General features: G+C 46.5%; 1 protein-coding gene across 2 annotated transcripts, besides 2 other annotated features; it reads left to right on the top strand.

Annotated features, from left to right (window-relative positions):
• The first annotated feature begins 1,438 nt into the window (after positions 1–1,438).
• On the top strand, positions 1,439–20,660 carry FAM180A (family with sequence similarity 180 member A). Of its 2 annotated transcripts, NM_205855.4 has the most exons (4): positions 1,439–1,747; positions 13,053–13,153; positions 15,933–16,606; positions 19,971–20,660. In NM_205855.4, exons 1-3 carry the CDS (start codon positions 1,672–1,674, stop codon positions 16,275–16,277), a joined length of 522 nt encoding a protein of 173 aa, NP_995327.1. In that variant the 5' UTR covers positions 1,439–1,671; the 3' UTR covers positions 16,278–16,606; positions 19,971–20,660. The 2 variants fall into 2 exon arrangements, with proteins under 2 accessions (NP_995327.1, NP_001356626.1); NM_001369697.2 differs by having other exon boundaries at positions 15,933–20,660.
• Positions 3,802–5,001: an enhancer, noted in NCBI's record as "P300/CBP strongly-dependent group 1 enhancer chr7:135429999-135431198 (GRCh37/hg19 assembly coordinates)". NCBI's record gives its function as "activates an origin of replication core promoter dependent on BRD2, BRD4, P300/CBP, MED14 and CDK7 cofactors, with strong dependence on P300/CBP, by STARR-seq in HCT116 cells {active_cell/tissue: HCT116}" and the evidence as "EXISTENCE:reporter gene assay evidence [ECO:0000049][PMID:35650434]".
• Positions 15,673–16,173: an enhancer, noted in NCBI's record as "H3K4me1 hESC enhancer chr7:135418827-135419327 (GRCh37/hg19 assembly coordinates)". NCBI's record gives its function as "activates a minimal SCP1, AML or CMV promoter by ChIP-STARR-seq in naive H9 embryonic stem cells {active_cell/tissue: H9 hESC(naive)}" and the evidence as "EXISTENCE:reporter gene assay evidence [ECO:0000049][PMID:30033119]".
• Positions 20,661–22,005: the final 1,345 nt, after the last annotated feature.

Raw genomic sequence — 22,005 nt, 5'->3', positions numbered from 1 at the left:
TGTTAAGTGACGTTTGTGATTCACGTTACATTTCTGTTGGAGAGTGCTGCTGGCTAGTGCCCTAACCTCCTAGTTCGGTGGATGCATTAAATCAGTTAATGCAAGGAGGGCACCTAGCACGCTGTCTGAAGCAAATTAAGCACCTAATAGCTATTATTAATATTAGTGAGCGTACTGGTTTTCAAATGTTGTAGTCTAGTATTTTTTCCCCCAAAAAAACTGGTTGTTTTTTTTTTAATTTTTTTAAGAGGAAAGTTCTTACTCTGTCACCCAGGCTGGAGTAGAGTGTTGTGATCATAGCTCACTGCAGCCTTGAACTCCTGGGCCTAAACAATCCTTCTGCCTCAGCCACCTGAGTGACTAGGACTACAGGCACATGCCACCACGCCCAGCTAATTTTTTAATTTTTTGTAGAGACAGGGTCTATTTTCTCTAGGTTGGTCTTGAACTTCTGGCCTCAAGCAATTCCCCCACTTCGGCCTCCCAAAGTGTTGGGATTACAGGCGTGAACCACCATGCCCGGCTCCCAAACAACTTCTTATAGCAGATAAAAGAGGAGCTTTTGCAGTAGAGTAGAGCTTTGAGGAGCCCTCTTGGGGAGCCCATTCACCCTGGGCACCACCTCCACAAACTGGAAAACCCACAGGATGACATAATCTTTAAGTGTCCTTCAAGCTTTAGCATTCCCTATCATTTCAGAGAAGTTGAGGAAGTGATTGGGAAAGAATTAAGGTGTCTATGGCAGTATATTACAACGACTATGGAAAAACACTCCCATTTTGCTTGGGAAAATCAAAGTGGCTTGGCCCCAGGTCTAGGCACAGCCCAGAAATGGGAGCATCACCAATGTGAGTTGTGGGGCTTGGCCCCAGGTCTAGGCACAGCCCAGAAATGGGAGCATCACCAATGTGAGTTGGGGGTCCCCGTGGGCTCCTGGATCATTACCTACGCACGTTCACACAGACAATACCGATGCACCATGTCACCTCTCCACTTCGGCTCGGTCACAACCTGCCAACTCCCCACCCACCCAGAACCTGGGCAGACCAGACACAGGCTCTAGGCGCCAATGTCCTAGTCTAGCTCCAGGGCCAGGCAACAGTGACACTCAGCCCAGGCACCACAATGATTTTGCTGTCCTGAAGGCAACTTAGGCTCAACCAGCCCTGGTGTCTGCCAGGCAGGCTCCCAACTCTGCCTCCAGCCCTCGCCCCTGGCTCTGGTATCGTATGTGTGGACGGGGAGAGCAGCCAACTCTTCGCCGGGCTCTCTAACAAGTTCCGCGGGTCTGTTTGTTAAAGAAAAATTCCAGTGGGTGCATCCAACACATGGAACTCAAGTACAGAAATTATATTTATCCGCCCCACTGCCAAGGAGATCACATGCCCCGTGAGTCACTCCAGATGTGCTCAAAAACAGAGTCTCTCTGTGGAAGGCCAGTTCCCCAATCCCAGAGAGCGTCAAATGAAGAGAGGTACCGACTCCTGTCCCACCCAGGACGCAGCCTTCAGCCTCCAGCCTTCTGAGGCAGAGTAGGCATTTCTGCACGTCTGCAAAAGGAAGGGAGGGAAGCACTCCATCATCTCACTGGGAAGAACGGCACGGGCATACCTGCAGCTACTGGGGTTCCACTGGGCTTGAGGGTCGATTTTTCACCTTTTGAAGGACAAGATGCATTGGAAGATGTTGCTGCTTCTGCTGTTGTATTACAATGCTGAGGCTTCTATGTGCCACAGGTGGAGCAGGGGTGAGTTGCTTTTTATTCATTTGTTTGTTTGATGCTCATTATACTTTCTTCAATGCAATTCAAAATTTGGAGGGAAGGACATTAGAAGCCCCGCACTCTCCTTTTGTCTAATCTCTGTCAATTCCTTGATGCTTCTTGACGTGTTCCCCCTTCTTAGAGGGTGATGGGGAAATGACACTGGAAAAAATCAAAGCTCCTGAGGGAATTAGGTTGAGGTGGAGAACCCAGAGAGTACCCCTTTCTGGCATCCCAGAGAGAACTCATTTCTGCTTCATAGAAAGTAGAACTCATTTCTTCGACTGCCCCCACCACCTGCAGCAGTTGGGCCAGACCGTCTGGAGAGCAGGTGCTGAGACCTGCTGCTAAAATGATGGAGTGATGGGCACTGGGATGCCAAAGGCCTGCTCCCTGGGGGAACCAGAGCAGAAGCTCTGCAGAACGTTGCCTCCTCACCGGGAGGGGATGCATCTCTGCAGCCAGAGGTGGGCAGGTGAGGAGAGCAACCCTTCAACCTCCACTGCACCCACCAGCTCCGCCACCTCCTCACAAAGGAAGGGGCCCCAGCAAAGGCTGTTCTCTTATCACTGACTTCCTCCCCCTCAGGATGTAGTTCCTCCTAGCTGGATGGCATCTTTTCTCCATTTCCCTGGGAGTGGCTCTGCTTGGTAGACACTGGGAGCACCTCGAGCCAGAGTTTATCACTGTTAGGAAAGGAGGGACCCACGGCACTGCCCACTCTTCACCAATATGAACGGAAATCTTTCCACTGCCTAAAGTCAACTGAGTTCACTCTCCTAGAAAGAACCGCAAGAAGAACAGGCTCCTTCAAGTCAGGCCAGTAGGTGTTTCTAGAGATGCAAAATTGGAAGGCAACTGGCATGGTGGCATGGATGCGCCTCCTGCTTGCTTCTCAAGGACAGTGTCAGGGAAGGAAGGAGTGGCCGGAGTGGGGATAGAGCAGCGCGAGAGAAGGATCTGAAATGGGAGGGAGGCAAAAGCTACTGTACTTATGCTGGGTTTTATTTCCTCATGGTTAAACGTGACATTAGGGACTTACATCTCTAACAGGGATATAAGTCTTTTGAGCTGAGCTGTGAAGTGATCGTTGCCCAGAAACAAATAATACAGCATTCTTCATTTTTCTCATAACAACCTTGCATACACATGCACATACACACGTACACCCCTCCCTTTTCTTTTTTTAATTTTTAATTTTTAATTTCTGTGGGCACATAGTAGGTATACATATTTATGGGGCCTATGAGATGTTTTGATACAGGCACGTCACATCATGGAAGATGGGGTATCCATCCCCTCAAGCATTTAGCCTTTGTGTTACAAACAATCCAGTGATACCCTTTTAGTTACTTTTATTTGTTATTTATTTACTTATTTATTTATTTTTGAGACGGAGTCTCACTCTGTTGCCCAGGCTGGAATGCAGGGGTGCAATCTTGGTTCACTGCAACCTCCGCCTCCCAGGTTCAAGCGATTCTCGTGCCTCAGTCTCCTGAGTAGCTGGAGTTACAGGTGCGCACCACCACGCCTGGCTAATTTTTGTATTTTTAGTAGAGATGGGGTTTCACCATGTTGGCCAGGCTGCTCTCAAACTCCTGACCTCAAGTGATCTGCCCACCTCAGCCTCCCAAAGTTCTGGGATTATAGGCATGAGCCATAGTGCCTGGCCCTCTTTTAGTTCTTTTTAAATGTACAATTAAATTGTTATTGACTGTAGTCACCCTGTTTTCACACCTCCCTTTTCATTGTGTGCACAAACTTTGAGGTAGCACTTGGAAGTAAAAAGCAAAGAGATCTTGGAGTTGGGTTCTGTCACTCCCCTCTTTGTCACACTGGGGATTTGCTTATTAAACAGGGTAACAGTGCCCACTCTTCCTAAGGCACAGGCTATTACAAAGCCAAAAGGGATTATTTGACTTGCAATATGGTTTGTAAACACGATAGCCACATCATGAGCTACTCTGCAAGGGTCCTGGTTTAAGTTCCATCTCTATTTGGCAATGTGATCTCAGACAAGTCTCTTAACCTCTCTGAGCTTTAGTTCACTAACGGGTGACATTAACATCCATCACATCAATAAAACCCTCATGCTATTACTGTGAGGGTCATATTCAAAAATATAGATGAAAATACTTTGTAAATGACAAAGCACAATATAAATATTAGCTATTGCCTACCAGTTTTTGAAAAATAAAAATTTTTCATTAAAGGAAGTTTAAGGCTCTTAACAGGGGAATCTACAGCAACATTCTGGGAGCAACTTCTCCGGGCCATGTCCTTCCGCATTGGGGAAGGTCTTTCCACAGTGAGTTCACAATCCACTGACTCAAAGCCAGCCAAACCGAGGTCACTATGAGGCAGCGGATGTGACGTGCTAGATTAATGGCTCAAGTCAGCGCTGAGTCAACAAATGATACAGAGTCCCTCCAACCATCATCAAATGTCTTCCGCGTAGTTGATTTTTTTTTCATTTTTAACATTTTTTTCTAATTATAAAAGAAATACACAATTCTTGCCATCTTTTTTTTCAAGACTGAATAGGAGTCACACCCAAATGAGTAAGTTTTTCCAAATGTATTATTCATTTCACCTTCATCCTTACCCCCACCCTACCTCCAGCCTCAATTCAAAGTACTCCCTTTGGAAACAGTCTTAGGGCAATCTCTTCCAGAGCTTTTCCTCTTCCACCCCCTGCCCTTTGGCCCCCAGCCCCACCACTACCCCGTGTCCATCCTCCCACCCTCCTGCTCCAAAATGTAAATGTAGATGTAAACCCACAGGCAATATGCGCCTTGTTGTTAGCACTGTCTTTTTCCTACCATCCTCCCAGCCTTTCCCTAAGCGCTCTCTAGGATTCCACCCTGGGAGGCAGCTTTCCATGCCAGGATCCAGGATCACCCATTCCAGCCCCACCAGTTTGATGAAGACCAAATGACTCACCTGTGGCCAAGCCAGGAAAGCCACATCTACACACACACACACATACACACACACAGAAACACACACACACACACACAGGTGGCCCACGTCCCAGCACATACCAGGTCCTGCCAGGGCACCACTGGAAGGGGGAGGACTAGCCAGACTTGAGAAAGAATTATGCACCTATTAAGGATATGAATGAAATATGCACCTATTAAGGATATGAATAGCTATGCTTTTGTTGAATACATACAAGTTATTTTTTAAGTAGTTTAATAGAGCAGCCCTTCCATTTTTTGGTGGACCTTATGTCATTTTCAGGTGTCCATTTAAGGGTTGTGTGTGTCCTCAGTCATGAATGTTCCATGAGGGAAAGGCCTGTGGTCAGTACTCAGTAAGTACTCACTGACTGCCGGGCACGGTGGTGCACGCCTATAATTCCAGTGACTCAGGGGAAAGTTAAAAAAAAAATTAGCTGGGTGTAGCAGCACATGCCTGTAGTCCCAGCTACTCAGAAGGTTAAGGTGGTAGGATCACTTAAGGCAAGGAGATCAAGGTGGTAGGATCACTTAGGCCCAGGAGGTCAACGATGCAGAGAGCTATGATTGCGCCACTTCACTCCAGCCTGGATGATGGAGCAAGACCCTGTATCCAAAAAGAAAATTGTTTTAAGTATTCACTGCCCAAGTGCCCCATACAGAGCCATCTCCTCTCTCCATAGTAACTCTGTGAGGCAGGTGCTATCCTAACCATTTACAGGTTAGAAAATTGGAGAGTGAGGCAAGAAGTGAAGTGACCCAGCTCCCCCAGCTGCAAGGGCAGAGTTGAATTTGATCCCCCAGGTCCATCTGCTGGCAGAGTGCCCCGTCCTCATTCATCCGCTCTGCATATTTCTCCATCCCCCATGGGCCACTCACCTGCTCCCGGCAGCCCCAAGCTCCCCCCTACATGGTGGAGCTTTCCAGCCAAGAGGAGCTGGCTGCCAGAGCCCTTTCAGGAGCTCTCCCAGAGGACCCCCACGCACAGGGCCGAGACCCTGGCTCGCTCAGAATAGCACTCTGTTTCCAGAGGGCTGGCCCAGGAGTCAAAAAGTAAATGACATCAGTCAGATCTGGCAAAAGATCTTTTACAAACGAGAGCTTTTCCTTTCCACACCCACCGTCCTTTCCATCGAGTTGCTTCAACTGATTCATTAAAAATACAGTTGGAGTTTGGCTTGAGATGGTCTGCAGCTTGAATCCTTTCCAACAAGCTCTTTGCCACAAATGCTATGCACAGTTCTGGGGAAAGCATGATTAGCCTGAATACCATACTACTGAACATATCGGAGGGATGGGAGGAAAGAAGAAGAAAGAGACTTTTAACCCAGATTACAGAAAGTCAAAGAGAAGGTCGGGCTGCCAAACAAAGGCAGGCTACTCCATTGGAGTGCCTCTGGCTGTTTGTCTAGGCAAGAAAGCTTTGAAGGGCTAAGGTGTGGGGGAGGTAGGGGACAGCACTCGCTGAGATCAATTAAAAACTAGCTTCGTCCAGGCCCAAACAGGGACTCCTCAGGGATAAGGGGAGGGTGTGGTGGAGACAGAAGTCAACATCTACTTTCTGATCATTAGCCAAGACCGAGAACCACAAATAAACTCTAGATTCACCCTATTAGAAAAGGAAGGATTTTGTAGGCACTCTATTTGAAAAGAATAGAGCTTAGTGACCAGGGCAGGTAATGTGTTCCTGTGGGATTATTTATTCATTTGACAAACAGGAAGGGGCATGATACTAGGCACTGAGAATACAACAGTGAACAAAATAGACAAAATCCCATACCCTCTAGTGAGGGGAAACAGGCAACAAATATATTTATATTTTAAAATGGGTGATTTGTTGGATGATAATAAAGTAAGGACAGAGGCTACAGAGTCCAGAGGGTTGTAATTTTAAATAGAGTCATCACAAAGAGCATTTCTCTCCAGCCACCTTCAGGTGCAGAGGGGCAGGTGTGCAATAGGCAGAGCTGGACTGTGCTTTTGCCAAGCGATTGCAAAGGAACAATAAGGGGCTGGGCGCAGTGACTCACACCTGTAATCCCAGCACTTTCAGAGGCTGAGGCAGGAGGATCACTTAAGGCCAGGAGTTCGAGACCAGCCTGGCCAACATGGTAAACAACCCCATCTCCAGTTAAAAAAAATAAAATAAAATACAAAAATTAGCCAGGCATGGTGGCGCCTGTAGTTTCAACTACTCAGGAGGCTGAGGCACAAGAATCGCTTGAACCTGGGAACCCAGATTGCACCACTGCCCTCCAGCGTGGGCGACAGAGCAAGACTCTTGTCTCAAAAAAAAAAAAAAAAAAAAGGAACAATGAGGGAGAAAAGGAGAATCGATGCAGGAGAGTGATCCTAAAAGTAGTCCTTTGACCTTGCATATCACATTATTATAAGTCAAAGTCAGAGTTTTGAAAAGTATGTGTGATCCACTTAAGAATACGTTTTCTATCAAATGCATAGGCATTCATTCATTCATAACTAACTACCATTTATCCTTTCTGTAGTTATTCAGAACTGAAGAATGCCCACTCTCTGGGCAGAGGTACCTACAAAAAGGAGCATTGTTCACTTATCAGTGAGATTGGGTTTTGGAGCCTTGGAGATCTGGATTTTAATCCCAGCCCTACCTCAAATAAATTGGATGGCCTAGGGCAATTTTCTTAACCTCCAAGTTTCTTCATCTATAAAATGGAAAGTTCATATTTACCTCACAAGGTACTTATGGACAGCACAAGGCACACAGTGGGTGCCCCGAGCTCTTACATTATTATATCTGAGCTCCACATGTTAAGAGCTTTAGCCTGAGCTCCAGAGGTATCTCTCAGCAGAAGACATGGACAGAACACGCTATAACACATGAATCATGAACTCTGGATCCAGCTCCTGGACTAACTTAGTCCATGTGGCATGACCTTTAGCAAGTGAGTCACTTGTTCTATGCTGGTCGGTCCCATGTGTCCTAGATGCTCATTTGTCCAGGGAATCGAGGAGGAGCTGAGCAGTGCTTGGTTTCCCCACCCCACGGCCAGCCTGGGCAGCCAACTTCCATGCAAGCTGACCATTGAGTCTCAGGAAAGGCTTCCTGGGGAAACAAGATTTTCTAAAATGTAGGAGCAAGTCTAGTTTCCAGCTTTGCACATATACATCTTGGAGTTTGCCAGCCCTTGTTTCAGCCATCAGCATTTCCGGTGGGGTCCAGCCTTCATCATTATGGACAAGAACATCTTGGAGTGACTGTACATTGTGAAATTGTACCTCTGTATTTTGACATTGATCAGATAGAGCTATTTCTCACCCACCACCTCCAGCCTCTCCAGTGGAGATAAGTTTATTCTCTCTAGATCTTGCCTCACACAGGGAGTCAGATCTGGGTGGCTGCCGAGCCACTGAGATGTCTGCCCTAGAGCTGGCTGCACTCCAGCAGCCGTCCCTACCCCTGCCCAATGCACAAGGTCAAAGCAGCCACAGAAATGTGAGGGGCAGCACTGCTGGGCCTGGTGGACCAGTGCAGGGGTGGGGGTGAGGAAGGGAGGAAGAGAGACCCATCTTTAAGATTCCTGTGCTTCCCACACATACATTCTAATTTTTTACTTTTTAAATGGATTGGTAGGACCTCTTTTTTAGCTTCTAGATATTGATCCTTATCAGTGACATTCATTGGAAATGCTTTCTCCCATTTGCTTGGCTTTTCTTTTTTTTTTTTTGAGACAGGGTCTCACTCTATCGCCCAGGCTAGAGTACAGTGGCTGATCACAGCTCACTACAGCCTTGACCTCCCAGGCCCAGTTGATCCTCCTGCCTCAGCCTCCCAAGTAGCTGGGACCACAAGCGTGTGCCACCATGCCCAGCTAAATTTTTTTATTTTTAGTAGAGATGGGTCTCACTATGTTGCCCAGACTGGTCTCAAATTCCTGGGTTCAAGTTATCCACCCGCCTCAGCTTCCCAAAGTCCTGAGATTATAAGTGTGAGCTGCCACACCTGGTACACACTTACATTTTTTTTTTTTTTTTGAGACAGAGTCTCAGTCTGTCACCCAGGCTGGAGTGAAGTGGCATGATCTCGGCTCACTGCAACCTCCGCCTCCCGGGTTCACGCCATTCTCCTGCCTCAGCCTCCTGAGTAGCTGGGACTACAGGTGCCCTGTAGGTGCCTGCCACCACACCCAGTTAATTTTTGGTACACACTTACATTTTAAAGCAATAGCCATTCCCATTGTCTGAAGCTATTTCTAAGTCTCCATCAAACTATATTACTATTCAGTAGGAGACCAAGAGCTATTGGAAATGACAAAGTTTCCATTATCAAGCTCAGCTTTGAATCAGGAAGTATTTTCTTCTTGGCTCTTTGAGAACTAGGGGTACCTCTGGGGTGAGCATGTTAAAGACATGTTGCTGTTCACAGGGCAACAACTGAGCGAAGAAAGTCCAGGTCTAAGATCATAAATAACTTCCAGGCAGGCAGCGGCTGTGATTACAGGGAGCAGAAAGGGCTCCACGCCCTGACATTCCCTCCCTATTGCCTTCCTCTGCTGGGACTGAGGTTTTTTTTTTTGTTTTGTTTTGTTTTGTTTTTTTTTAAGGGAATAATACCTTTAATTTGGCAATAAGAGATAAATTCTAGCAGAATTAAAGAAGTAGAGTCGCTCTTAGATCCTATCCTAAGAAGGGGGTTTCATCCACCTCCTTTCTTCCTGGTGGGAAGAAAAGAAGAGCACAAAGAAAGAAACAGGCCACACCTTGACCTAGGACCAACTCATCTCATACCAAGGAGAAAACAGAGACAAAGTCCATGCCCTCTTTGTGCCTGCACTCCTTACCTCCAAGAACATGATGACCTTGGTCTCTTCAGATGACCTTGTAAGGCCCCATCAGATAGGCAAGAGCTCTGAATTGTTTTATGGTAGAAGGACACCATCGGCCTGTCTGTGATATGGATAACACAGATCTGGCTGCCAACTGGAGCCTGGGAGCTGGAAAAAGTCCCAGTGCCTACATTTCACTCCCAGAGATGCCCACAAATTGGCCTGGAGTGTGGTCTTGGGCATTTGGGTTTCTAAAAGTGCCCGGATGAATCGAATGTCTAGTCAAGGCTGGGAACCACCGGTCTAAACAAAGAGCGGCCACACAGCCTAGGGTCAGCGTCTTCCACACAATTTCAGGTCAAGCTTACTCTGACTAGGACAGTGGTTCTCAACCTCGGCTGTCATTAGAAGCACTTAGGAAGCTTTACAAAATCGTAATGTGTTCATTGCCCTCTGGTTCAATTAAATCAGAACTCTGGAGCCAGGTCCAAGAAACCGCTTTGGTGACTCTAACAGTGTTAACTAGTGGAGTCACAGACACCTCACTCTCCTGTGTTCCACCTGACACTACAGGCATTGGCAATGGACAAACAGGGGCAAAGGCTTCCTCAAGCCCTAAAATCTATGATTCTGGGGGAAACTGGCTCTTTTTTGGCAAAGAGTATAAACTCTGCTGAAATACCTGGCTAGGGAATACTGCCATGGAGCTCATGGCTCCTTCCCTGAGCATGGTCTGGCGAAACAGAGCTCGTCACTCTGCTGGCCGAGGCGACCATTAGTGCAGGGATTTGGTCATCAACAGCTATGCCCAGCGCACACCCCGGAAGCCTGCCAGGCTCTGCCACGGGTACAGAATATAAAACTGTATGTATCAAAGCCCTTGAGGAACTTGTGGTATCGATCATAAATAAGTTACTGAGAAAGCAGTTTACAGCAATACTATAATAAGCCCATCAGGATTTTCTGGGACATGGGAGATTCCTACCAGTGAGCTTTTCAGGAAAGTTCCTCTAAGTTAAAGATGTTTCCTTTTTTTTTTTTTTTAATCACTTCTGATGGCAATCCTTCTAAAATGATTTCCATCCTTCCCTGCCTTTTTTTGTTTTTGTTTTTGAGACAGAGTCTCACCCTGTCACCCAGGCTGTAGTGCAGTGGCGCGATCTTGGCTCACTGCAAGCTCCGCCTCCCAGGTTCACGCCATTCTCCTGCCTCAGCCTCCCAAGTAGCTGGGACTACGGGCGCCTGCCACCACACCCGGCTAATTTTTTGTATTTTTTTAGTAGAGATGGGGTTTCACCATGTTACCCAGGATGGTCTCGATCTCCTGACCTCGTGATCCACCCACCTCAGCCTCCCAAAGTGCTGGGATTACAGGTGTGAGCCACCGCGCCCAGCATTTTTTTTTTTTTTTTTTGAGATGCAGTCTCACTCTGTCGCCAGGCTGGAGTGCAGTGTGGCACGATCTCGGTTCACTGCAAGCTCCACCTCCCGGGTTCAAGCAATTCTCCTGCCTCAGCCTCCCAAGTAGCTGGGATTACAGGCACGCACCATCATGCCCAGCTAACTTTTGTATTTTTAGTAGAGATGGGGTTTCACCATGTTGACCAGGCTGGTCTCAAACTCCTGGCCTCATGTGATCTGCCCACCTCAGCCTCCCAAAGTGCTGGGATTTTAGGCATGAGCCACAGCGCCCAGCCTGCCTTCTTTAACTGCGTACACTGAACATAATTTGACCTTTTCTCAATGGCTCAAGGGCACTATTATCAACTAGCAGAGCTGCCATTTATGATTAAGCAAAATATGCCTGTACAACTTCAGGGGGTGCCAACACCTTGTAGTCTCCAATTTTTACCATTATTTCCACAGTTTTCTGGTAGATCATAATTAAGTGTCTTAAAGAAGCTGTACCTTTTTCTATCAGCTGGCAGAGGGCTTGCCGATCATTTCTGCACAGTGCCTGCTCCCCAGAGGGGCTGTGGAGGTGACCAGAGCTATTTGCTCCTAGCCTGACGTGGTCCTGGAGAACTGCAATTTATAATGATCATTCCTATACCCTCTGATGTTCTGTCTTCTCCTTCACTTGTCCCCAGTTAGTGCCTAATTCTTGCTGTCCTGTGTACCTCTAATAGCAATTCATCTTCCTCCAGTTACCATTTCTACATGCAACCACTGGAACAGCATTGTCAAGTCACTGACTTTATACTAAATACATTCCTAAATCAGCCAGGCTTGGCTGGGCTCGGTAGCTCATGCTTATAGTCCCAGCACTTTGGGAGGCTGAGGCAGGCAGATCACTTGAGGTCAGGAGTTCAAGACCAGCCTGGCCAACATGGTGAAATCCTGTCTCTACTAAAAATGCAACAATTAGCCGAGCGTGGTGGCACACATCTGTAATCCCAGCTACTTGAGAGGCTGAGGCAGGAGAATCACTTGAACCCACAGTGGGCAGAGGTTGCAGTGAGCCAAGATCGTGCCACTGCACTCCAGCCTGGGCAACAGAGCAAGACTCCATCTCAAACAAACAAACAAACAAAAATCAGGCAGCCCTTGGGGAAAGCTCTGAGTTTGACCCCACAATGATGCCCTAGATCCAAGGGCCTGGGTCTTGTGCATCTCTCTTCCTTTATTTTGTCATGTGTGTTCAGATTCTTGGCAGCTATATTTTGGATGCATGAGGCAGCCAGAATCCTGATCTTCTGATTAAAACAGGCAGTGAATCAACATAAACCAGCACTTCATACTGATAACGCGCTAAGATGCGTGCAGTGCTATTAGGGAACAGTGTTTTCAGGGAACTCACTTACTGACTTTGGGGCTTTTTGTTTTCACTCATTTCTACTTTGCTTTATTTTGCTTTGGTTTAATATAAATTTCCTAAGGCATGCATATCCCCAGGCATATAGATTTTGCAAAACTTTCTCAGATGGTTCTTCCTTTTTCTTTTTCTTTTTCTTTTCTTTTCTCGTTTTCTCAGATGGTTCTGATGAGCAGCCAGTTTTTAAGCCACTGGTCTGATATGACTGAGAGCTTTCTGGGCCACACCAGGGGAGTATGTCACCTCTCTCCTCACTCTGTGTCCACCACCACTTTCCAGTCAGTCCTTTTTTTTTTCTTTCTTTTTTTTTTTTTTTTTTTTTTGACATGGAGTCTCGCTCTGTTGCCCAGGCTGGAGTGCAATGGCGCAGTCTCGGCTCACTGCAACCTCCACCTCCTGAGTTAAAACTATTCTCCTGCCTCAGCCTTCCATGTAGCTGCAATTACAGGCACCCGCCACCATGCCCGGCTGTTTTTTGTAATTTTAGTAGAGATGGGGTTGCACCATGTTGGCCAGGCTGGTTTCGAACTCCTGACTTCAGGTGATCCGCCCGCCTCGGCCTCCCAAAGGGCTGGAATTAGAGGCATGAGCCACCGTGCCTGGCCAAGTCAGTCCGTTTTTAAGACTCCTTGACTACCTTCAAGGTGGATCAGAGGGAGAAGGTCTGGGCGCACACAGCAGCCAGGAACTCACTGTTTTCTTTCTTTCAGCTGTGCTCTTCCCTGCCGCCCACCGGCCAAAGAGGTCCTCATCACTGCCATTGAACCCAGTCCTGCAGACCTCCCTGGAGGAGGTGGAGCTGCTCTACGAGGTAGGCAGAGGGGAACATGCTCAATCCAAGTCACCCAAAAGACTCTGCACTTTCTCTATCTTTTTTGGAAAAGGAGAAGTGACCCCTCAGCCCCTGACCATGAGTGACCCCTGCTGTGGTAGGGAATAGCCTAATTTGTAGAGGTCATAGAACCTACTCATTCATAAAGTATTCCTCATGCCTCCTGTCTTTCCCACATGCTATAACAGACAATGATGGCATTAGGAGTTCAGTTCAGTTTAAACTAAAGATTAGGTTTGGCCTATAGGCATCACTCCTGGCACCCAGGCACCAGAGTATGGCAATATTCCCAAGCAAAGGCCTTGAGGCAGGACTTGCCAGGAAATGCCAAGCCATTGTCTGGGTGCAGCCGTGTCTCCAAGGCCCTGCATGCTAAGATGGCAATGCTGTCTGGCTGAGCTGCCAGCCTAGCTGGGTTTCTGGAAGCCACAGACCACCCTGCAGGCTGTCTTTCACTACCTCTCATCTTGCATCACTGAGACCCCACTCCTCCTCCAAACCACAGGGTCAATTTCCCGAGGCTGCCCAGATTGGTTCAGTGTTATGATCCCAGGCTCAAGATCTGAGCTTTAGTCCTGGCTCTATCTCCCGTCCGCTGTGCCACCTTGCATAAGCCACTGTTTCTCTCTGGGCCTGACTCTCCTCAACTGTTAAATGAGAGAATTCAACTAGGCTGTCCAAAATTCCCCTCCAGCTTTGACATCCTCTGACTCCATGCACTAGGACTGTCTGGTTAAGAAAGAGACAGCTGGTTGGGGGCTGGGCGCGGTGGCTTACGCCTGTAATCCCAGCACTTTGGAAGGCCAAGGCGGGCGGATCACAAGGTCAGGTGTTCAAGACCAGCCTGGCCAACACGGTGAAACCCCATCTCTACTAAAAATACAAAAATTAGCTGGGCATGGTGGCACGTGCCTGTAATCCCAGCCACTCAGGAGGCTGAGGCAGGAGAATCACTGGAACCCGGGAGGTGGAGGTTGCAGTGAGCCGAGATCACGCCACTGCACTCCAGCCTGGACAATAGAGCAAGACTCCATCTCAAAAAGAAAAAAAAAAAAAGAAAAGAAAGAGACAGCCAGGCCAGGTGCGGCGGCTCATGCTTGTAATCCCAGCACTTTGGGAGGCCGAGGCAGGTGGATCACCTGAGGTCAGGAGTTCAAGACCAGCCTGGCCAACATGGTGAAACCTCATCTCTACCAAAAATACAAAAATTAGCTGGCCATGCTGGCATGCACCTGTAATCCCAGCTACTTGGGAGGCTGAGGCAGGAGAATCACTTGAACCCGGGAGGTGGAGGTTGCAGTGATCTCAGATCGCACCACCGTACTCCAGCCTGGGTGACAGAGCGAGACTCCATCTCAAAAAAATAAAATAAAAAAAGAGAGAACTTGCTGTAGCCATGCAGTTAAGCCAGGGGGAGAGATTTCAAATCCTGCCTTGGGAACCAGACTGGGAAATGCAGAGTCTTTGCCTAGTCTTGAACATGGGAGTCATACGAAGAGATCTATATTTTAGAAAGATCATAGACAGTGCCATGGAGGATGAATTCGGGCAGGGGAGGACAGAGACAGAGAGAAGAGAGAGGATTTAGAGTCATTCCATCCCTACTGTGAGCCTGGCACTACCCAGGGATGTGCATGGCAGACCCAGCTCCCACGCTTAGTGGGCAGGTCAGAGACGAGGACAAATATCTGTGTCCCACTTGATTCCTAGCACAATCCTCTGCATCCTTCAAACTCTGAACATTTTTCCAGAGGTCCTATAGTAAATATAAAGAAACTAGAGCTATACCCAAATAAATATATTGTTTGCCAAGGATGTACTTCTTGACTTTTCCAAGAGCTGCCAAGAAGAATCAGTTAGAAAATCAGTCATTTGGCTCGGGGTAGTGGCTCATGCCTGTAATCCCAGCACTTTTGGGAGGTCGAGGCTGGTGGATCATCTGAGGTCAGGAGTTCGAGACCAGCCGGACCAACATGGTGAAACCCCATCTCTAATAAAAATACAAAAGACTAGCCAGGCATGGTGGCAGGTGCCTGTATTCCCAGCTACTTGGGAAGCTGAGACAGGAGAATCGCTTGAACCCAGGAGGTGGAGGTTGCAGTGAGCTGAGATCACACCACTGCATTCTAGCCTGAGTGACAGAGTGAGACTCCATCTCAAAAAAGAAAACAAAAAACAAAAAACAGAAAATCAGTAATTTTATGACCTTTATGTCTGAACTCCTTCTTTTTGAAAGCTGGTTTAACACAGAAAAGAAACAGCAAGGGGCCCACAGCCCAATCCAGTCTCACCTTGTCTTTGAATAGAAAAACCAAGCTAATGCAGAAAGAGTCTCCCAGCTTCTGCCTTAAAATTATCGAAATAGTTGATGCTTTAGATGATCTTTGTTGGGTGGAAAAAAGAAAGGGAAGAAGGAATTTATCCAGGACACTAGAAACTATAATTAGTCCCTTAAATACTGGTTTTGAACCAGACACTGTATTAGTTTTGTCCATATTTGTCTTATTTACCTCTCACAATATCCCAGTGAAGTAGATGGTGTTACTAATTATTTACACAGAGAAGGAAAGTGAGGCTCAGAGAAGTTAAGTAACTTGTCCAAGTTCACACAGCAAGTGAGAAAGTCAGAACTGGAACTCTCTTGAGTTCCAAAGCTCTTCTGGCAGCTGCCTCCCTAAGGGAAGGTGCGTGATAATGAACAACTGTGTCCTCAGCAATGCCTCACTTCATATTTTTGCACATCCACATTTCTCACCAGTTCCTGCTGGCCGAACTTGAGATCAGCCCTGACCTGCAGATCTCCATCAAGGACGAGGAGCTGGCCTCCTTGCGGAAGGCCTCAGACTTCCGCACCGTCTGCAACAACGTCATCCCCAAGAGCATCCCAGACATCCGCCGGCTCAGCGCCAGCCTCTCCAGCCACCCTGGCATCCTCAAGAAAGAAGACTTTGAAAGGACAGTGCTGACCCTGGCCTACACAGCCTACCGCACAGCCCTGTCCCACGGCCATCAGAAGGACATCTGGGCGCAGTCCCTCGTTAGCCTCTTCCAGGCCCTGAGGCACGACTTGATGCGCTCCTCACAGCCGGGAGTACCTCCCTGAGAGACTGGCCCACACCAGGACCTCAGAGCAGGGACCAGCACAGTAATCCAGAAAGTCTTCATTCTCTACTCCATTTACAGAGACCAGCAACAAAACTCTTACCGCTGACACAGAGCAGCAGAGATCAAACAGTAACCCCGATGCTCTTTTCTCCTTGTAGTTTCCTGGAAGACACATCTGATTCATGCCATCATGTGACCTGGGCTGGAAGAAAGGGCTGGAATGGTCATTCAAGACGCCTCCATGGGCAGAATGGTTTGCCTATGGCAGGCAGAATTCTGATATGCTTCAACCCAGAGCAGTGGCCACACACTCAAGAGTGAGAACAGGCCGGGCACAGAGGCTCACGCCTGTAATCCCAGCACTTTAGGAGGCTGAGACAGGAGGATTATTTGAGGTCAGGAGTTCAAGACCAGCCTGGGCAACACAGTGAAAACCCATCTCTACTAAAATCACAAAAATCAGCCGGACGTGGTGGCGCACACCTGTAATCCTGGCTACTCAGTAGGCTGAGGCAGGAGAACCAGCTGAACCCAGGAGGTAGAGGTTGCAGTGAGCTGAGATTGTGCCACTGCACTCCAGCCTGGGGAACAGAGCGAGATTCTGTCTCAAAAATAAAAATAAAAATAAATTTAAAAAAGAGTGAGGAATGAGCTAGAAGAGACATCATGGCAGGAAGATGGGGGACAGATTCCTTCGGTCCTAAGGGACTAGGGTGCTGGGTTGAATGAACATTTTTCCAGAGGTTCTACAGTAAATATAAAGAAATTAGAGCTATACCCAAATAAATATATTATTTGCCAAGGATATACTTCTTGACTTTTCCAAAAGTTGCCAAGAATAATCCATTAGAAAATCAGTAATTTTATGACCTTTATGTCTGAACTCTTCTTTTCTGAAAGCTGGCATAACACAGAAGAGAAACAGGAAGGGGCCCACAGCCCAGTCCAGCCATTCCTTGTCTTTGAATAGAAAAACCAAGCTAATGCACAAAGAGTCTCCCAACGAACAAGGTGGCATGTAGGCCCGTGCCTGTCTGTCTTCATGCAAAAATAATTTAGCATCATCAGACAACTAAATGCTCCAAATAAAAATGATTTTCAGATGACAGAATTCTACCCTTTCAAATGCCAAAACTTTCCTTTTATAGATATTGACTCGATATCTTTTTAAACTATATATACAAATCACCTTAAGCTTTTGTTTAGTGTAAGATCATCATTCAAACATTCTTGTGTGTGTGTGTGTGTGTGTGTGTGTGTGTGTGTGTGTGTGTGTGTGTGTGATGGAGTCTCGCTCTGCCATCCTGGCTGGAGTGCAGTGGCACTATCTCGGCTCGCTGCAGTGTCTGCCTCCCGGGTTCAAGCGATTCTCCTGCTTCAGCCTCCCGAGTAGCTGGGACTATAGGCGCGCACCACCACACCTGGCTAATTTTTGTATTTTTAGTAGAGACAGTTTTTCGCCATGTTGGCCAGGCTGGTCTCAAACTTCTGGCCTCAAGTGATCCACCCGCCTCAGGCTCCCAAAGTGTTGGGATTATAGGCGAGAGCCATTGCGCCCGACCATGTCATCATTTAAACATTCTAATGAAGGAGTTGGATAAGATAATCTCTAAGACTTCTACCTATGAAGTTCCTACAATCCTTTAACTGTGAGATGCCACAAGGAGAGCACCTGGATCTAAGAAGTCAGCTCAACTGTTTGTACCAACCCTGAGAGGTCCCAGACTGCTCATTCTGTGTTCAGTTCTGAGTTTCCCTGCTGCCTCCCTCACTGTCAGGCTATTAGAGCATATTTTTCTTTGTTACCAATGTAACTTGCCCTTCACAGTCTGTTCTTTCTTAGCTGGCCATTGCCTACAAACTACGATAGCCAGGTTTGTTATAATTCTATGTTAAATAAGAGTTAATAGATGAAGTCCTCTGCTAGGGGTCGAGCGTCTGGGTCCTAATAAGGATTCCTCATTAGCTCAGAGATCTTTCTGTCTTCTCCTAAGTTTACAGCTGAGCTCAGCAAGCAAAAGCTGCAACAAGTCTGATCTTTGAATGAGTGAGGATTTATTGGGCTAAATTTGATTCTGAAATGGGTATTTAACAGTTGTCATTTGATAATGATGAGGTCTGGACTCCTTCAAAATCTTTGAGCAAATAAGCTTTGCATAGCAGTGCTAGCCGCATGATCTTTTTGGAGAAATACTAGGACACTGGAAGAAGGTATTCATCATCAGAGAAAAACACAGCTTTGCATCCTGATATTCTCAGGCTCAGAAGATTAGTAAGTCTCAGTTTCTCTTTCTCATTCCCTGACCATTCTGCTCTTTTACCTCCTCCAAATGCAGATTCTGATATATGCTTTTTTTGTTCAATCTTTCTTTTTCTAAATGTACATATTCTCTCTGACATGGTCACTCTGCTTGTCTCTGTCTTTCTTTCTTTTATTTTAGTTGGTATCTCTGCTGCTGTATATTTGGGCCCAATTCCAAATATCTCTGTATCTGTTTTTTGATGCATCTCCAAGACTCTTCTGCTTGACTTTTGCTCTATCTCTGCTGACCCACACTCTAACACTCACTGTCTGTCAGTCTTCTCTGGGTATCATTGTCTAAGTAAAACACAAGTCAGTGTACAGACAGCGTTGGGATCGGCCAGAGGCAGATAAACATGGTAGCCTATCTTCACAGTTTGTACTTTTCCTAGATGTCAGATGGGGAGTGGATTAGCAATGGCCTCAGTCCCTAGACACTGTGCAATACCCTGATAGTCAGTCTTGTATCCCGCCCCGAGGCTCCACTCCCTTGACAATGGATCTGAAAGCTTTCTTGTACTCAGAATCATCAGATGGAAAGGCCCACCCTTGTAGTCCCTGACCACCATGTTATGTAGATGGCTGCTCCCAGTAGTAAGAAATCCATGAATGGGAAGATGGTTCCCAGGAACATTCACCCAGCAACAAAAAAATTAAACACAAATTGGGGCTTGAATTTTTGTGGCAATCAATGACTGAAAAAAAAATAGAAAAAAGAAGGACATGACCTTTTTAAAGACAAATGAAGACTCATTTTCAGTAACTAGAGTCTTAAAAACTATTTTAATCTGAATGCAGATCATTGTTTACCCACAGAGAGTTTTATGACAATGATTTCACTGACATGCAGAATCAAATATTATGATCACCACCAGCAGCCAAAAAACCCTATTCTTTGCCCAAGGAGTAGTAGAAATGTAGACTAGACAGACAAACAGGGTCTCCTATTTTGCCTCATTAGTGCCACACTCTATACAACTACAGTCACGAAGGGGTCACATTTGGTTATAATTACTATTAGAATAATATGGGAGTGTGATGTTTGTGGTGGAAACTTGCCCATGACTTATGTAACCATTTCTGCTGACAAATTTTAGGATCTAAAAACTTTGTGGGTTTTTTTGTTTTGTTTTTGTTTGTTTGTTTTTGGGACAGTCTCGCTCTGTCACCCAGGCTGGAGTGCAGTGGCACCTCCGCCTACAGTGTTCAAACGATTCTCCCACCTCAGCCTCCCAAGTAGCTGGGACCACAGGCACACGTCACCATGCCCTGCTAATTTTTTTGTATTTTTAGCAGAGATGGGGTTTCACCATGTTGGCCAGGCTGGTCTCAAACTCCTGACCTCAAGTGGTCCACCTGCCTCAGCCTCCCAAAATGCTAGGATTACAGGCGTGAGCCACCGTGCCTGGCCCAGGATCTAAAAACTTTCTAAGTTTCCTCCATCGTTGGCATCCTCACAGCTATCTCCAATGTCACTCAAGAGACATCAACAGACATTTAACTGCTGCAGACTTCATTGCTCTGTCACCTCACCTTGAATCTAACAAATCAAAGTATTTCTGCAGGTCCAATGGTCTAAAATCAAATGCTTGTTAAATGACTTTTTACAACACCCCTTACTTTCCTAATCCATTTCAATCTTATTTTTTTTATTGTGGTAAAAAACACATCAGGTAAAATGTACCATCTTAACCATTTTTAAGCATATGGTACAGCAGTGTTAACTCCATGCATGTTGTGAAACAGACCCCCGGAACTTTCTCATCTTGTAATTCTGAAGTTCTATACCCACCGAACAACTCCTCTTTTCCCCTTCCCCCTGCCTGCCCCAGCTCTTGGCACCATTATTCTGCTTTCTGTTTTTGAGAGTCTGACTACTTAAGATACCTCATACAAGCGGGATCTGGCTTACATTTCTTGAGCATTGTATTCTGGAAAAGTGTTTCCTTCCTCTGAAAAATGGGTAGAGTTCTGAAGGAGAACTACTGGTCTTATTGTACACTTGCTGTACCTATTTTTATTTAACAAATATTCATCTATGGTATAATAAAGATGTCATGATTGAGTTGCTCACTGGAATCTTTGTTATCTCAGAGTATCTCACCGAGGAATTTGGAATGGTTCATGGGTTTAACAGTGGATGTTGACTTCCACAGCTGCTTATAATTATTCGCTGTCTTTAATGTTTGCGACCAAAACATCACACACGTGGTATTGTTCATTCTGAGTTTCAAAATCATAACCAAAAAAAAATGAGGCCAGAATGTAGTAAATACAGTAGCCAGTCTTTAACATGCATTTAAAGAGTTGAGTCATCCTAGCCCATCCTACGATGGCAAGATAATTTCAAAGGGGACCTCAGCTGTCCACAGTTGCACCTGCCTTAAAAGTCAAGAAGAATTTGTTTTTTGGGTCACTTCCCTGGTCACTTTAGCCTGGGGATCATTTCCAAGTAGTATAGTTGCAGATCTTCGAACGCCATTCCTGTGTTCTGTGAATTCAAGACAACATGGGTTTTATAACCCTTTGACTCTGCTCAGCATCTCCCAGATCAAGGTAAGGTAATGTTGCCAAGAACCACTACTTACAGAATGTTTGGGCTTTTGCTTTTGCTTTTCTTCCTTGCCCCAAATCCACATGTCCGTTCTGAGAAAAGAAGCTAACAACTTCTTCCAATCTGTAAACAGGAGAAATTCCAGAGTTCAACTGCAGCTAAGACCTTGTCCCTGAACTTGTCAACTTCTTCCCTGCCCTCCCACCTCCTCCTTTCGTACCAGCCAAAGAAGGTCTTCGGTTTCCTTTTTGGAGAGCCCCAGAGAGAAGCATTTGAGCACCTACTTTAGCCAGAGAGACCACTGACATCTGGGCATGAGACTGGCATCTAGACTTTGCCAGGGAGGCAGCTATACTTCCCAAAAGATCTGGGGTCTTTCTCACGAGCTCATACCCTCTGCTGGCCTAGACCCTTTATATTCCCCCCTCGGTGCTGAGGCAAACGATCTTTGCCAGCAGGGAGGTCTGAAAGGCTTAACTTTGTACACTCTGAGGCAAATTCTCCAGAAGTAATGTTGCATTTTCTCCCTGCCACCAGGCACATTCCCTTCCCAAGGTCTAGATCAGCAGGTGGCCCTCCCAGCGAAAGCTCTGTGTCCTATGATCCGAAACAATAAAGCTGTGCTTGGGTACGTGAGATTATGTTTACGATGATGGTCATCACTCCAGCCCTAGGAAGTTTGAGAAACTGAAAAATAAGCTTAGCAGGCTGCCTAGGTTCTGCGGAATCAGCAGGCCCCCGCTGTGACCAATCAAGAGCGGCCGCGGGGAGAGAAATTGACTCATTCTTTTCAATTTGCTGATTGGCTTTGAGAAGTGGGCGGAGCTACTGTCTCTGTCCCGGCTTCCCATTGGTGGATGAAAGTTAAAG

Source organism: Homo sapiens, chromosome 7 (assembly GCF_000001405.40).
Source record: "Homo sapiens chromosome 7, GRCh38.p14 Primary Assembly".
In the NCBI taxonomy this organism is placed as follows: domain Eukaryota; kingdom Metazoa; phylum Chordata; class Mammalia; order Primates; family Hominidae; genus Homo; species Homo sapiens.
The sequence above is the reverse complement of the archived record's forward strand: the minus strand, read 5'-3'. Positions and strand labels throughout refer to the sequence as shown.

Coding starts and splice junctions, on each gene's coding strand:
- FAM180A (NM_205855.4), top strand. CDS start 1,672: ATGCATTGGAAGATGTTGCTGCTTCTGCTGTTGTATTACAATGCTGAG. Junction 1,748..13,052: donor GTGCCACAGGTGGAGCAGGG/GTGAGTTGCTTT, acceptor TCTTTCTTTCAG/CTGTGCTCTTCCCTGCCGCC. Junction 13,154..15,932: donor AGGTGGAGCTGCTCTACGAG/GTAGGCAGAGGG, acceptor ATTTCTCACCAG/TTCCTGCTGGCCGAACTTGA.